General features: G+C 39.6%; 1 long non-coding RNA gene and 1 pseudogene across 9 annotated transcripts in view; one reads left to right on the top strand and one right to left on the bottom strand.

Moving 5' to 3' along the window:
* TXLNGY (taxilin gamma Y-linked (pseudogene)) overlaps positions 1-1,616 on the bottom strand; it is a 39,813-nt pseudogene extending 38,197 nt beyond the window's left edge. For both annotated transcript variants that reach the window (NR_045128.1, NR_045129.1), the window contains exon 1: positions 1,492-1,616. The product of NR_045128.1 is annotated as a taxilin gamma Y-linked (pseudogene), transcript variant 1 (transcript). The remainder of the gene's footprint in view (positions 1-1,491) is intronic.
* Positions 1,617-1,964: 348 nt separating this feature from the next.
* On the top strand, positions 1,965-15,075 carry LOC105377223 (uncharacterized). Of its 7 annotated transcripts, none has more exons than XR_001756065.2 (4): positions 1,965-1,992; positions 10,834-10,934; positions 11,685-11,744; positions 12,162-15,075. It is a non-coding gene; the product is annotated as an uncharacterized LOC105377223 (long non-coding RNA). The 7 variants fall into 7 exon arrangements; XR_007068463.1 differs by having other exon boundaries at positions 10,834-10,950; positions 13,420-15,075; XR_001756064.3 differs by having other exon boundaries at positions 10,834-10,950.
* Positions 15,076-16,503: the final 1,428 nt, after the last annotated feature.

Below are 16,503 nucleotides of genomic sequence, written 5' to 3'. Positions count from 1 at the left end.
TTTCTAATTGAAGGACTTTTTGTTTCATCACAAGGAGCATAAACAAGAACTTACTGAGCTTATGTATTAAATTGCAATGCTTTTTTATTACAGCTCTCTCCTGGGGGAAGCAAATACTGAGGATAAGTGACATGTCCAAAATGACAATGCTGAATCCCCCAGTAAGTTCAGGCAACAGCTTCTTTCCCAATTATGCAAGTTCTAAACCTTTCTGTTAGAATACAAGGAGAGAGGGAGGGAGAGACAGACAGAGAGATAACTCAGCAGTAACATATTCATGCACAGACCAAAAAAAAAAAAAAAAAAAAAAATCTGACCCTAAGCAAATCCAAAACCTAACTTTGCTCAAGCGTAAATGTACTGTAAATGTTAAGTAAACATAAATCCGATTAAAAAGAGGCATTTTGCTGAAATGTAAACTGAATCTTTTTTCCTCATTTTTGAAGCTCGTGAAACAGATTAGAAAAATATTTCAACATTTCACAAAGGAATTTTTTTTGAGTATTGAAATGCATAATGAAGTAAGCGCTACCTTACTTACATAACTAAGTATGTAAGACATTGAACGTTTGAACATGTCTAAATTAAAGAAAAATAAAGAGCATTCAACCATCTTAGGCCGTTTCTTTGCAGTTCTGTATTTCAGGGTCCTGAAAGTTTTATATGCTGCAGCGAATTCCTTGCGCAAACTTTTCTAATCTTTAGGCACCAAACCCCAGAAGAAAAGGGATTTCGATTGTTTTAAACGCCGTCTTAATTTTGCGGTATTCAAAGGAACGAGTTGAGTAAAGTAAGGAAAATGTTCCTGTGTCTCCAGGATTGAGAGATCAAAGACGCCGCACTTCAGCTTCCGCTTTGGCGTGCACAGGACAGAGAAAGAGCAATGAAAGAAAGAAGAGAGAAACGAAGAGAGAGAGAGAAAGAGAGAGACAGAGAAAAGAAGAGAAAAGAGAAGATGTTTTGCAAGAGAAGTTGTCATACGATAATGGTGCCCAATTTAGATCGAGGTCCTCTGGCATCACCTCTCATCCTTGGCTGGAGATGTAGCCATGTAGGTAGCGTCAAGAACTGAAGCCCCAGAGCTCAGTCGGTCTCACCGACTGGCTGCGGCCACTTGCCATCCGGTCCTGTGACTGAGAAGGAAAGGAGACTGCGTAGCTGGGGGTGCAATGCGCAGCTGCAGCTACAAAGCCCGGCTTTCATACTGTGTAACAGCTTCACCTCAACTGGCGTAGCGCACCTCAACACATACTGCTCAATAGCTTCAGGAGAGAACTAGCCTGTGTCCCAAGTAAGCCCTAGACGGTGGTGACCAGCACCGGGAATAAGGCGACGGCAGGGACTGGAAAGGGTACACCTGGTGCGTGGGTCCCCGCGGTGCCAGCCACACGTGGCTTTCATACCTAGCGCGCCCTCGGGGTCGCACTCTTCCCGCTGAGATCAGGGCGCGCCCTCAGCCACTCTTCTCTACCCCTCTGGACAGGAACCCACCCCAGAGCTGAGTTGCGTTCTGCCCTGTTTGGCACCAATCGTCTTGGCGCCACCGCCGCTGCCTCTTCTCGGTGTTACCTCTCCCCTACGCCACGAGGTGACTTCCGCAGCAAAACCGGCAGAGTACCCTCACGGAAGCTCATGGACTTAACGCGGGGCCCTATAACTCTGGCGACCAATCGCTGCATGCCAAGTACCACACGTGACCGGAGGAGGTTGACTCCGCCATCCACTCTTCCTAACACTACCAACCTATCTTGGGGAGTGCGGGAGGGTGGGGAACATTAAATCCTGGGCTCGGCCTCAGGCCGACAGAGCCGAAAGTGGCCTCGGGAACCTATGCCTGTTAAAAAAAGAACTACAAGTCCCAGCAGGCTGAGCGGCTACGGCTCTCTGGACCTGCTCGGGATTGGAGCGTAATGCAACGTTCTAGGAAAGAGAGTATTTCTTCTGGGTGTGGCCAACCCGGATTTGTAGTTCCCAGGCCGGTGTTCCCGTATGGTAAGGTACTCATTACTGTTCTGGAAAGGTTTAGATTTTTATTCCAACCGTATTCTTTTGTTAGAGAATGTACGAAATTAACGACAAGTGAGAGTACACATAAAGTCTATTTTCTTATTGCTTAATCTTATGAGGATGTTACCTGCTGTTCCTAGCCATCAATGATGTAGGGATAAAAAATACATGACGTTAAAGGGTAGGTGCATTGGCTTTCAGCTTATCAGTTTTTAAGCTCTGACACCGACCCAGACTCCAGCCTGTCCAGTGCAATGGGGTCCACGTACTGTTCCCCGCTGACCCACGCGGGCTTGAAACAACTATCAGCAGCTATTTTGCACCAAGTACAGGTTAAATGGACTCCACTTTCTCCGCTATCCGTTTCTTACTTACAGTTATACGTTTGTTAATCCATTTATTTTCCTTGATATGATGGAGGCGAAGGGGAATTCCCTGAAAAACATCACCTATTTGTTTTAGATGCAATTACGGTTCCAGTCATCAAAACTTGGGAGATCAGGATAATTCATACACCATGCATTGCCTTGTTTTTAAATGCACAATTTACTAACTTTTCATATATATGTATATATGTGTGTATATATGTGTGTATATAAGTGTGTATATATGTGCGTATATGTGTGTATATATGTGTATATATGTGTGTGTATATATGTATGTGTGTATATATGTGTGTGTGTACGTATGTATGTGTGTGTGTATATATATATGTAATCCTGACGTAAGTGGACTTTGCGTCTAGCTTCTTTTGCTTATAATAACGGTTTTGCTTCCAAGGTCGTAGTATAATATCAGTACAGTTAGCCCTTTGTACTAGTGGATTCTGAATCCCTAGACATCTGTAGATTCAACCAACCACAGATCAAAAATATTCAGGAAAAATAAATGAATGGTTGCATCTGCGCCAAACGTGTACAGACTTTTGTCTTGTCCATATTCCCTAAGCAATATAGCAACTATTTACATAGCAGTTACTTTGTATTAGATATTATAAGTAATATATAAATGATTTAAAATATACAGAAGGAGGTGCATCGGTTATGTGCAAATACTACATCTTTTTGTCAGGGGATTGGAAGGACAGAGTCTGACCCTGTCACCTATCCTGAGTGTGACATACAGTCTTGGCTCATTGCCACCTCTGTTTCTGACGCTCAACCAATCCTTCTGCCTCACCGTGTAGCTTGGACTACAAGCTCACCATCATGGCAGGCTAATTTTTGTACCTTTTTTTGGTAGACACAGGTTTTCACCATGTTACCCAGGCTACACATTTATATCAGGGACATGAGCAACTATGTATTTTGGTATCTTGTGGACGGGTGCTCCTGGAAACCAGTCTCCCTGGAAACCACAAGACAACTGGACTTCATTTATTTTACAGCTCTAATATTTCATTGATTGGATATACATTTTGTTTACTTTTCCATCAGTAAACAGTTGAGTTGTTTCCACTTGTTGACTATTTTGTATAGTGGTGCTTTGAACATTCATGTGCAAGTATTTGTTTGAGTATATGTTTTGAATTGTTTGGAATTGCTGGATCGTGTAGTAATTTGATGTTTAATTTGTTTGAAGAACTGACAAATGTTTTCCACAGCAGCTGCACAATTTTATATGCCTACCAACAACATATAAAAATTCTAATTTCTCTACATCTTCACCATACTTGCTTTTCCCATCTGTTTGATTAGCCATTTCACTGAGTGTGATTATCTTGCTGTAGCTTTACACTTTATAGTTGTTATTTTAATTGACAAAATCATAATTGTGTATATATAATTGTAGTTTTAATGTACATTTCCTTATAGGTTAATGACATTGAGCATCCTTTTCTGTGCTTATTAGTCATTTATATGTCTTCTTTGGGAAAATGCCTATTCAAATCTTTTGGCTTTTTAATATTTGAGTTGTTGGTCTTTTTCTATTGACACTTAAGATTTCCTTATACATTCTGATATAAATCCCTTGGTAGATATGGTTTGCAAATACTTTCTCTTATTCTCTGACTTTCCTTTTTACTTTCTTCATGGTATCCATTGCCTCATAAAAGTTTTTAGTTCAACATATCCAGTTTTTATTTTGCCCTTGTACTTTTGATGTCACATGTTAGAAGCCATTGGCTAATCCTAGTACATGATGATTTAGGACTATTTATTTATCTAAAAGTTCCATAATTTTAGTTCTTACATTTATAACTTTGAACCATCTTAAATTAATTTGGTAGGATCCAACTTTATTCTTTAGTTGTTGATATTTGTTATCCTAACACCATTTGTTTAAGGCTACTCCTTCCTGCACTGAATAGTTTTCTCACCTTTGTGAAAATCAGCTCATCACAGATGTCAGAGCTCAATTCTAGACTATGAATTTTACTCTATTCACCTATAATCCTGTCCTTACACCAGTACCACACTGTTTTTATTATTGTCATTTTGTAGCCGGTTTGGAAATTGGGAAGCCTAATTCGTTCAACTATATTTTCAAGATTGATCTTGGTTTCTGGGTTTCTTAAAACTTCATATATTGGGAGGCTGAGGGGGGTGGATCACAAGATCGGGAATTCAAGACTAGCCTGACCAACATGGTGAAACCCCATCACTACTAAAAATACAAAAATTAGCTGGGCGTGGTGGCGCATGCCTGTAATCCAGCTACTCAGGAGGCTGAGGCAGGAGAATCACTTGAACCCGGGAGGCGGATGTTGCAGTGAGCTGAGATCGCACCACTGCACTCCAGCCTGGGTGACAGAGCAAGACACCATCTCAAAAAAAAAAATCATATGAATTTTCAGGTTATCTGTTCATTTCTAGGAAAATAACACAAACAAAAAGCTGGTTGCAATGTTGACAGAGATCTCATTGAAGTTGTAGATTAGTTTGGGGACAATTGGCATTTTAATGTTATTAATTTTTCCAATCCATAAATACAGATACCTTTCCATTTTTCCTTAGGTTAATTTCTTTTAACATTATTTGTAGTTTTCTGGTACAAATCTTATATTTCTTTTGTTAGATTTGTTATATGTATTCATTATTTTAATGATATAAATTGTGTTATTTTCACTTTTGAATTATTCATTACTAATGTATGGAAATACAACTGGGTTTTATATGTTGATATTATTTGCCTCAACGTTTCAGAATTGACTTATTAGCTTTGATAGATAGGTGGTGTATGTGTTTCCTAGTATTTGCTATATGCAAGATCTTGCAAATACAGCCATCTTCCACATAACACTTCAGTCAACAACAGGACTACATAGACAATGGTGGCCTCATCATATTATAATAATTTTACTGCACCTTTTTATGTGTAAGTGTGTTTAAGTAAACAAATGTTTACCATTGTGTCCTAATTGCCTACAGTATTTAGTTTAGCAACATGCTGCACAGGTTTGTAGCCTGAGAGCAATAGGCTATATCATATAGCCTAGGTGTGTGGTAAGCTAAACTATCCAGGTTTCTGTGGGTACAGTCTATGATATTTGCACAATGACAAAATCACCTACATATGCCATTCTTAGAATGTATCTCTGTTGTTAAATCACCTATGCATGCCATTCTCAGAATGTATCTCTGTTGTTAAGTGACACATGAGTATATACTATTACATCTTCCTTTGCAATCTGGATACTAACAGTTGTACTGTTTCTCAACTGTTGTGTCCTCAGCATTGGGAGGATGTTTTGAGCCAAATAACTTGGGCCCAGCTTTCCAAAGTAAAACTAATCTACTAACTGAAGAAACCTTAGGGCTGGATATTCAGCCCTTAATTTGTAAAAGGATATTTGCATAGCCCTTTGCTGGGTGAAGGAGAAGTAAGGGAAAGACTTCCAAAGGTCAGTTTCCCAGCCAGATTACTGAGGAATTCCAATTGCTAATGACCACAGGGTGGGCGACACAGTGGTACACTGGGTACACTGCCAGCTGACACTGGCCACACCTACACAGCATCTCTGAATGCATGTGGTTAAAATTTCCTGGTGAATTTAGGATCCAAAAAAGAATTCTAGGTCTTCTGTCCAGGTAGAAGCATCTAGTTCTGGCTTGTTGACTCTGTCCCTGCTTCATCTTATATTTCTACCTCATGCGCATATACAATCAAATGTGTTGAGTCTGGGAAGAGTAGAGAAAAGGTGGTACAATGCCTGTCTCCCTAGGTGCAGTGGGTTAGCAGACCCTCTGGACATGCGACCAGATCAGAGACCAGGCCTATGCGTCCACCAAATAGGTGATGGCGATTGTTCAGGATTTGTGCTCTGTGCTTGGTATTTCATCTTACTACAGAGGACAGACGAAAGAGCTGTGTATTGGAGCCTGCAGATGGATGGGGATGGATATGACAGTAGATTTCTTCTTCTGAGAATACACTTTCAACCTCTTGTTAACACAATGGCAGTCTTTGCTCTTCACTTCCTGAGCTGACCCTGTGAGCATTACCTAATGCTTTCCTGAGCCTCTAGTTGCTTTGTAGTCAGTGAAGGAGATGGCTTTCACCCTTAACGTCTCCAAAAGTAACTTTAGTTCCCAAATACTTACTAATTTGCATTGGTTTCGGGTAGGCTGGACTCACACACCATCTCTGCAGTGCAATGCCATGTTCACTTCTGAAATCCCAAAACCCGAAAGGATGGATTCCCACTGAGACCTATAGAGGAAAGCTGCTGAAGAGAAAGGACAGCAGAGATACAATTGCCTATGTTGAGAGATGCTCTTGAGTCCCATAACATACAACCTACCAGTTTTCTGCAACCCGAAAGCCCAGGGCTGGCACTATAATCTTAACTAGTCACTACATAAGGCTTTTGTTTTTATGATGTCTATCCATAGTTATAGTTCTTCATTCCACAGATGCGGAAAAACTGTGTTATCCTTGAGAATTTGATATCTCAGGACTGTGCAATGTGGATGTCCTCTGTCTCCCAGTATGGTGTCCCACTCTGATGGTAGACTGACATCCAGCACCATACAGCTGAGTTTACCCAGCCCAGGCAAAAACCTCAAAAAATTGAAAAAATAAAATAAAAATCAAAATAAAATAGTAGAGAAACAATTTTTTTTTTAGGCAAAAAGTATTATCACCTAAATTAACAACAGTCCTCATCTTATTCTCCACAGGAAAAATATCTAAACACAGGACCCTGCCTGCCCAGTGACTAATCTTACTGACCCTCCTAGATTTAACTAGGCTCACAGATTCCTAAAATTCTTCCAGTATAAGAAGAGATCAGCCTGCAGAAATGCTTTAAAATTGTTCCGAGGTTTAGATACAAAATTAATCAGGTAAAGTGAGAGAATGGAAGATTTTAAGAGACAATTCCTTCAGATGAAATATTGGGCTGTGCAAAGGAGCTGCCTAAAACATGACCTGCTTGAGGTGCTAGTGTTATTTCAGCCTCAGTAGGAAGATCTCAGAAGATCTCACTTATTAGCATTTGCTAAATGACATTGACCTGCAGCATAGGTGGGAGCAAAAAGAGGCAGTTTCACCTGGCTGCTAGCCCCAATTCAATAAGAAATATTTATTACCAAACTGAAATTCTTCTGAGAAATCTCCTAATCTGTAATGTGGGAACAATAACACCAGCTTGTGTACCTCACACAAGTTTCAGAAGATAGAACATGTTCAAGTGCTGTGCATATGTGTCCTAATAATTCACTGTAATAAAAATTGGGTCACCCCATTCTAGAAAAGACACTCATTTGCTGATTTATTTTATAAGTAAAGGTCAGCTCTTCTACAAATCCATGTAGGAATGTAGGAGAAAAAGAGAAACTAATATTTTGTATTTCTGTTTCTTTCACTTCAAATTGCATTTTGTAACTAATGTAAAAACTTTACAAGTGCTATAAGATCATTGGGAATAAACAAAAAAATTCAGAGATACCTCTTGTGGAAACTAAGCAATGATGAGCTCATACTCTGTAGTTACCAGAGAGTCTCTCCCTTCATTGTCTTGAACTATTTCACAACTTTATAAATTGCAGGTAACTTATAGCAATGCAAAATAATTCTTGTTTATTGATATACAAATGAATTATGTGCAGTGACATTTCTAGGGACTTCTCTCAATCTGCACTGGGTTTAATCCTGTTTCTGAAAACTTAGTATCTACCTGGAATCTCAGAATGTGCTCTTATTTGGAAATAAAATGATGGCAAATATAATTAAGTGAAAATGAGGTCATCCTGGAGTAAGGAGGTCCCTAAGTCCAAAGACTGTTTTTCTTAATAAGAAGGCCATGTAAAAATGAGGGCAGACATTGTAGTGACGCAACTTCAAGTAAAAATACTAAAGACTACCGGCAAACATCAGAAGTTAGGAGAGATAGGAAACAGATTTTTCTCAGAACTCACAGAGGAACCAACTTGGCAACACCTTGATTTCAGAATTCTAACCTCTAGGACTGTGAGACAAGAAAGTTTTTCTGTATTAAGCCACCCGGTTTATGGTGATTTCCTATAGCAGCTCTAGATAAAAGCACATTGACACCATTTACAAATTTCATTTATATAATTTCACCATTCCTATACTTCATGTTAAAACTGAGCTTCATTAACTTTTTTAAACTGCTTATAACATGTTACTGATTTTTTCATTTATAATTTATTAAATAAATTTTAATGTTTTATGTTAAATAAAATTTTAATATGTATTTTTTGTATATTTGTATGAGCCATGATTTTATCCAACCACATTTGCAAAAAATATAACAATGAGAAAATTATAACAGTAACAGAGAACTGATCTAACCGTCTTGCCCTTAACCTACCTACTGCCCTTGTTCATTCCTGGGCATAAACTAACCTAACTTTGAGAAAAATTTAGTCTATAGTTTAAAGGAGAATAGTCCTTCCCAAAACTAAATCACCTTTGTAAAACAATGAAAGACCACCAGGTTAGGACAATGAGAGGGGCGTGATCCTGCTAAGATGTAGATGTAGTTAAATGATTACTGGTCATTATTCTGGAGTTGCAAATTCCCCAATTACTCCTGTAATTAACATCACTTTTGTAGAACTTAAGACTGGCCTTTTGATGTGTTTTTTCAAGTTTTGTCATTTTTAACTACCAAATGGCCCAACTAGACAGGCGACTCTAGACTCAGCCAGTCCTGTTTCTGCCTACCAGAATTGAACTCAGCACAAGAGGACCACTTTCCACATCCCTGTGATTCCATACCCAACCTATCAGAAGCACCCATTCCCTAGCCCCCACCTGCCAAACTGTCTTTGATAAACCCTAGCCTCCAAGTTGATAGGAAGGCTGAGTAATAATAAAACCCTAGGCTCCTATTTAGCCAGCTCTATGTGTATTTAATCTCTTCCTCTATTGCAATTCACCTACTGAAAAATCAGCTGTCTCTGGGCTCTGGACAAAATGAACCCATTGGGTGGTTACATCAAGAGTTGGAGGTTAAAAGAAAGAAAAAAGAGCATCTCAGTGTTGTCAAAACTCATTTTTGAAAAGAAACCCTTGTGAAGAATATTAATGTAAAGTAGCTTTTTGATTATGTACTCTTCTGTTATTCTGGAGATCAGATGCTGGTGTGTGTGTCCACTATTTCCTGCTCTGGATCCCTGAACTGTCTCTGACTCATTCTTGGTCGGCTAAGTATGAGGTAATATTGGCATGTAGGGAAAGGATGGTGGAAAAGGATAATAATTTGTCTTTTTTTTTTGAGACGAAGTTTCACTGTGTTGCCCAAGGTGGAGTGCAGTGACGCTCTCTTGGCTCACTGCAACCTCTGCCTCCTGGGTTCCAGTGATTCTCCTGCCTCACTCTCCGAAGTAGCTGGTGCCCACCACCATGCCCAGCTAAGTTTTGTATTTTTAGTAGAGACAGGGTTTAACCATTTTGGCCAGGCAGGTCTCAAACTCCTGACCTCAGGCTATCCACCCATGCTGGCCTCTCAAAGTGCTGAGATTACAGGTGTGAGCCACTGCGCCTGGCCAATACTTTGTCTTAAATGAACTTTAGAAAAAAAGACCTATGCTTTTTTCTCTCCCTGAAGATACAGAGATGTTAAAACTGGGGTAGAAAGGTGCAAGATTTTGAGCCCAGCATCTGTTAGGATTGGGTACTGGCTTTTGTCTCCTATCCCTGACCTAGGAACTTCTCTGCCCAAGGATAGGATCCATTGGCCTGCTGTCACTGGTGTTGGGGCTTAGGACATATTATGCCAAAATATGACATCATGGAGGTCACTCACTGACGTTTTCTTTTTTTGTTGTTTTCCTTTCTTTTTTTCTTTTTCTTTTTTGAGATGAAGTTTTGCTCTTGTTGCCCAGGCTGGAGTACAATGGCACAATCTTGACTCAGTGTAACCTCCACCACCTGGATTCAGGTGATTCTCCTTCCTCAGCCTCCTGAGTACCTGAGATTAGAGGCAGGCAGGTGCCACCATGCCCAGCTAATTTTGTGTTTTTAGTAGAGATGGCATTTCACCATAGTGGTCAGGCTGGTCTTGAACCCCTGACCTCAGGTGACCCACCCGCCTCAGCCTCCAAAAGTGCTGGGAGTACAGGCATGACGCATCACTGACTCATTCTAACCTTTCTGTGTGAAAGCTGTCCATAAAATTATTGTCTGACATACCTCCCTTGAAAGTAGTTCATAAGACTCTCGTGTGGCATATGTCCTGCACCATACACAAAGGGAAAGGATACAATAGAGAGAGGCTAAAAAGAATCTGAACTCCCAGGCCTTAAAGTTTACCCAATTTATTATCATATCATAAATTATTTTGTCCTATAATACTTCTACATTACCTGTCCATTCTATCTTTTTTCTTTCTCTTTCTTTTTTTTTTGATACAAGGTCTCACTCTGTCATGCATGATGGACTGCAGTGGTGCAATCATGGCTCACTGTAGCTTCGACCACCCTGGCTCCGGTCATCATCCTACCTCAGCCTCCCAGGTATGTGGGATTACAGGTATGTGCTAACATGCTCAGCTAATTTTTAATTTTTTGTGGAAACAGGATTTTGCCATGTTGCTCAAGATGATCTCAAACTCCTGGCCTCAGGCAATCCTTCTGCCTCAGCCTCCCATCCTTCCCCCACATACTGAGGCAAAGATACAGGTGTGAACCACTGAAACTATCAAAAGGGAAAATTACAACACCTTTACTTATACAGATAATTGGCTTTTATTTGCAAGTCATGAAGGAGCATCCTCCATTCTACAAAATGGAGTGATAGATCCCACTGGCAAGTAGTAGAACGGTGGATTTTGTATGGTGAGAGCAAAGATATGAAACAACAGAAAAATGACTAGTTGACATGAGGTTACTTTTTTGAAAGGGATAAAGCAGAGTATGGTTCGTTATTGCACTGAATTGGGTAGACTGTAATCTCTTGTTTTCAGAAAAAAAAGATGGCTTTCAGGATCTATCTCTTTCCCTCATATTTCAGATTAATTTACCTGATATTATGTGAAACTTAGCATGAGTGACTCCATTTTAGTTTGACCTGGTCTGTTGCTGCCTAATTTTGGAGCTCAATACAAAACCATGGCCCCATCATTTTTGTTTGGCAGCACTGAAAACTAAAATACACAATTTTCACTGATTCTCTGAGTCTTTATTTCTTAAGGCTCTTATGTCACCTGAAACTTCGTTGAATAAATTTGTTATGTTTTTCCCTTGTTAATTTGTTTTTATTCATAGTGGTGTCAGTCATCAACCTTGTGATCACTGAGGAAAAGATACAATAATCCTTGCCTATCCGTGAGTTCTGTCTATATGTATTCAACCAAGTTTAGATTGAAAATATTTTGGGGAAAAATGGAAGGGTGCACCTGTACTGAACATGTTCCAACATTTTCTTGTCATTGTTACTTAAATAATACAGTATAACAACTATTTACATAGCATTTACACTGCTTTAGTAATTATAAATAATCTAGGGATGATTTATTTAGATAGTCTAGGAATGATTTAAATAATCGAGGATGGTGATATATGGGAGGATGTACATAGGTTATACATAAATACTACACCATTTTATATCAGGGTCTCAAACATTCATGTACTTTGGTATCCAACAGGGATTCTGGAATCAATCCTCCACAGATAGCAAGGGATAACTGTATTAGTTTTTCTTTTCTACACTGTTTAATGGATGCTGCACCCTTCCTACTCTAGGACCCAACCAGGATCCTGAGCCCTCACTTTCTCCCTGCGTTCCTCATGATCCATTTGACTATAATGCAGAAAGTTTGTTTAGCTACTGGCTGGTATCTGTAACTCCTATGACAGCTCACACTCCTTGAAGAAGAAGAGAGAAAACAGAAGACTTGTCCTGTGGATAGATTATTTCTTCTTCTGTTTGTTTGTTCTTTGTATGCTCTCGACAACATCCACATACACAAATGCACATACATAAACACAGAAACTTTTTCTTAACATGGACAATCTGAAAGAGAAAGCAGCACAACAACCATTTTGGATGATCGAGACTATTTTTATATTATTACAGTACAATTGCAGAATGAATTCAAAAGGGCAAGCCCCTAGCAATGATAATGCTAAATGGCTGGTGGATGTAAATAATTAGTGGTCAATATATTATCCATGATATGTGGCAAGTTTGAAAGTTGGAAATGCAGAATCCCTGTTCTGGTCATATTATTGTACTTGGATCTGCTGGGAACCATTTGATACTCTGGGATTCTCATTGAGAATCCAGTGATAGCTAATGTTGAATATTGCTTGCTGCTGGGCAACAGTGACTGTCAAAACATTCCGTCACCACTTTTTTTTTTCAGTTTAGAAAAAGGGTCTTGGATGTTGCCTAGGCTGGCCGGAAACTCCTGAAGTCAAGTGATTCTCCTGTCTTTGCCTTTAGTTCTGGAAGTACTGGGAGTGAACCTCTGCACCAGGATTTCCCTCACCATTTTCTGTAAAATGGCTTACTACAAAGAACATTTCTGTAGTATATTTTTATGTATGTATGTATTATGTATTTATTTATTTATTTATTTTTGAGACAGAGTCACAATGCTGCCCAGGCCCTAGTGCAGTGGTGTGATCTTAGCTTACTGCAACATCTGCTTCTGTGTTCAAGAGATTCTCCTGCCTTAGCCTGTGGAGTAGCTGGAATTACAGGTGCACACCACCAAGCCCGGCTAATTTTTATCTTCTTTGGTAGAGACCGTGTACACACACACACACACACACACACACACACACACATTTAGGTAGATACGAGGTCTCGCTCACAGCAGCTTCAGCAAACACAGATTTCTGGTGTTGGAGGACAGATTTAACTACAGAAAATTCTGTTGGGCAATCGGAAGCCTCAATCTATACAGACTTTTAGGAGGAGCCTGCCTGTTTGGTTCAAATTTAGCCAAAATATTTTTTTTTTACCACTGATTCAGTAAATCTCCTAACTTTGCAGGAACTGGGATCCTAAAAATTATGGAACGAATTGTAGAAACTCAAGCAACTTTCTCCAAAGCCTAGGGTTCAGCAAGAGTAAGCAAGAGGCACTGAGCCGCTGGAGTCTGCACATTGATAAATTTACTTACAGTCGTAAATAAATTGCATCATCTTCAGCTAGTAACACAGAGTCTAATTTTTATAGCGGCATACTTGCCTCCACGACTTTCCTAGACACCAGAAAGAAAGGCGAGAGCCAGCCTTAGCCTAATCAAGAACCATGATCCAAAAAGGAGTGGGAGGAACCTAGCGGCCACGTGGGAATCCCAGCCCTCCTATTAAGCCTACCCTCTTTGCAAATTGTGACTGTGAGCTCCTGGTTTACAGAAATATATCCCAGAACTCAAGCAACATGAGCCACTATAATTGTCTCTGGAAGGTGACCCATTTGCAGATAGGGACTTCCCTGAAGGTTGGGGCCCTCATGAGCTATGCTTTCCACCAAGTTGTCTCTATAAGGACCAGTTCCAGGACCTCAGGGAGGAAATTTCACTTTCTGCCTTGGTGGAATGTGAAGTGAGTGGCTCCCCGGCCACACCCCACCCTCCATAAAATAGAAGGTAAATCCCAACTGCCAAAAGCTTTTTGTCCTCCTCTCAGGGATACTAATTAAAGCAGTTGGGCTACTTTTTCATGCATTTCATCTCAAGTTGTCTTTCTGCCTATCTCCTGAGCCCAGCGAAAGAGTTCCTTAAAATAACCCTCAAACCTCTGTAGTAAAGGACCACACAAATAACGAATGCCATGAAAAAACAGGGCTAGAGGTTTCAGAGGATGAGAAAGGAAGAGCAGCCAGAACACTGGCTGTCTAGGTATGCTACTGGTGCCTGACTCTGCACCTGTGTGTGTCTGTGTGCTGTGTTCCAATGGCAGAGCATCGGGGCCACCAGAACTCTCTCAGCTACCGCACATGGAGAGGGAGGAGTGATAAAGAGAAATCAAGAAACTCAGTTTCTTTGAAATGGAAATCAATAAACTCAGTTTCCTCAAAGTTCAAAATACATGAGACTGCCTACCCTCCTTGGAAGGCAAGGTGGGGCTTTCTGAAGCAAATACCAGCTTTAAAAAAAAATGTATATATATATGAAGATATATACAAAAAAAAAATTTCCCCACAACCAGACAATCAGAATCATCAAACCCAGAAGGGTTAAAGAAAAAGAAAAGGCCCAGGAAAGTATGATTGGTGGGGATCAAAAGTATCTCTCCACAGTGGTAAATGAGAATTCTCAAAAAGAGTAAAATTATAATTCTCATGCACATATAAAATAAATATGTATTACAGATTTTACTTAAACCATATAGCTCAAAATTAGCTAACAAGGAAGACATTATAACCTGTTCAAAGAGAAGCCAAAGAAGGGAAATTTATATGCTGTAAAGAAATATTTAAAGGAATATGGCAAAACTGACTCTTAATAGGAGATGCCCTATGTGGTACATAATTTGTTTGTGTATCTACACACATGAATTATTTTGCACTTGTATCACTATCTACAACTTACACTGTTGTAAAGTAACTCCCACACAATCAGAATCATATAACCCAAAAAGGTATCTTCCCTAACCAAACAAGGTTTTCCAATAAAGCACTATTTTGTCTCACATTGCCATATTTTAATGGCCTTTGAAAATATTATTTCTAGAAAAGGGTTTGAAGGAAATTTGGTTGGACTTGACTTTTGTACCCTTGTTATCATTATCATTATTATTAGTGGTAATTGTAGTTCCCTGCTGAGACTAAGCACTCAGCTCTTGAAATGCCAATCTCAAGACTTTTTCTTCCAAAGCTTCCAGAAATAATGGAAGAATGTGTAGGCTGCATGCACAATGAAAGCCAGTAAGTAGAGGAAGACTCTACAAAGTTATGTTTGTTTCAGAAACAGTAGTAGTGACAAAAATATATGAAGATATGCAATAGGACTAAGTTAAAGTAACATGCAATTATTTCTAAAACTCAGAATTGTATTTTACCCATCTGATTCTGCCAGGTTTTGTTTCCATGAGACATGCAGTCTCATGGAGAGATAAACGCAGTCTTGGGTTGGCTGATGATGTTTTGGGGACAGCCACATTATTTTAATATTAATTTTATTCTTATTTAACATAGTTTTAGTACTGCTGATGTGGAATATTCTTAACAATGTCTGTTTTTTGGGAAATAATAAGCTTAAAATCTTGATAACTGCTTCTGGGGCAGCAGTCAGGGCCTAGCTCCTCTCTGAGACTCCAGAGGTCATGCTTATCCAGTCAAGGCAACTTTTCAAGGCAAGTAGGATCCAGGATTCCTGTCAAGTAAGTGGGCTCAGTCCTGACTGACAAACAAACAAGCACAAAAACAACCCCTCCCCACAAAAAAACACACATACAAGCTTGGGTGGAAAGCCAGTATACAGTACCTGAGGAAAGACAAGAAGAGCAAACTGAAAAGAAACCAGAGAGGCTAAGAAAATAGCCTAGATAAAAGGAAAATGGTGATGAAGATATTCAAAAGTACCTCTCTGATAGTTACACCATCCTGCATTCAGAGTCCATGTTTCATATTATAATCTTCTCACTGCCTTTGTCTTTGTTTTTTTTCCTCGTGTGTGTTTACAATTTTTTTTTTTTTTTTTTTTTTTTTTTTTTTTTTTTTTTTTTTTTTTTTTTTTGTGATGGAGTCTTGCTCTGTCTCCCAGGCTGGAGTACAGTGGCATGATCTCCACTCACTGCAAGCTCCGCCTCCTGGGTTCACGCCATTCTCCTGCCTCAGCCTCCCAAGAAGCTGGGACTACAGGTACCTGCCACCACACCCGGCTAATTTTTTGTATTTTTAGTAGACATGGGGTTTCACCACATTAGTCAGGATGGTCTTGATTTCCTGACCTCATGATCTGCCCACCTTGGCCTTCCAAAGTGCTGGGATTACAGGTGTGAGCCACCACACCCAGCATACAATAATTTTAAAAACATAATAAAGGTCAATTTAGAGCAGAGAAATTATTCTTTTAAATTACAAATGTTTGCTGTTCAGGCAAATTACACAGAAAGTTAAGAATAACCC

This window comes from Homo sapiens, chromosome Y (assembly GCF_000001405.40).
Source record: "Homo sapiens chromosome Y, GRCh38.p14 Primary Assembly".
Lineage (NCBI taxonomy): Eukaryota > Metazoa > Chordata > Mammalia > Primates > Hominidae > Homo > Homo sapiens.
This window is presented reverse-complemented; position numbering and strand designations above follow the sequence as displayed.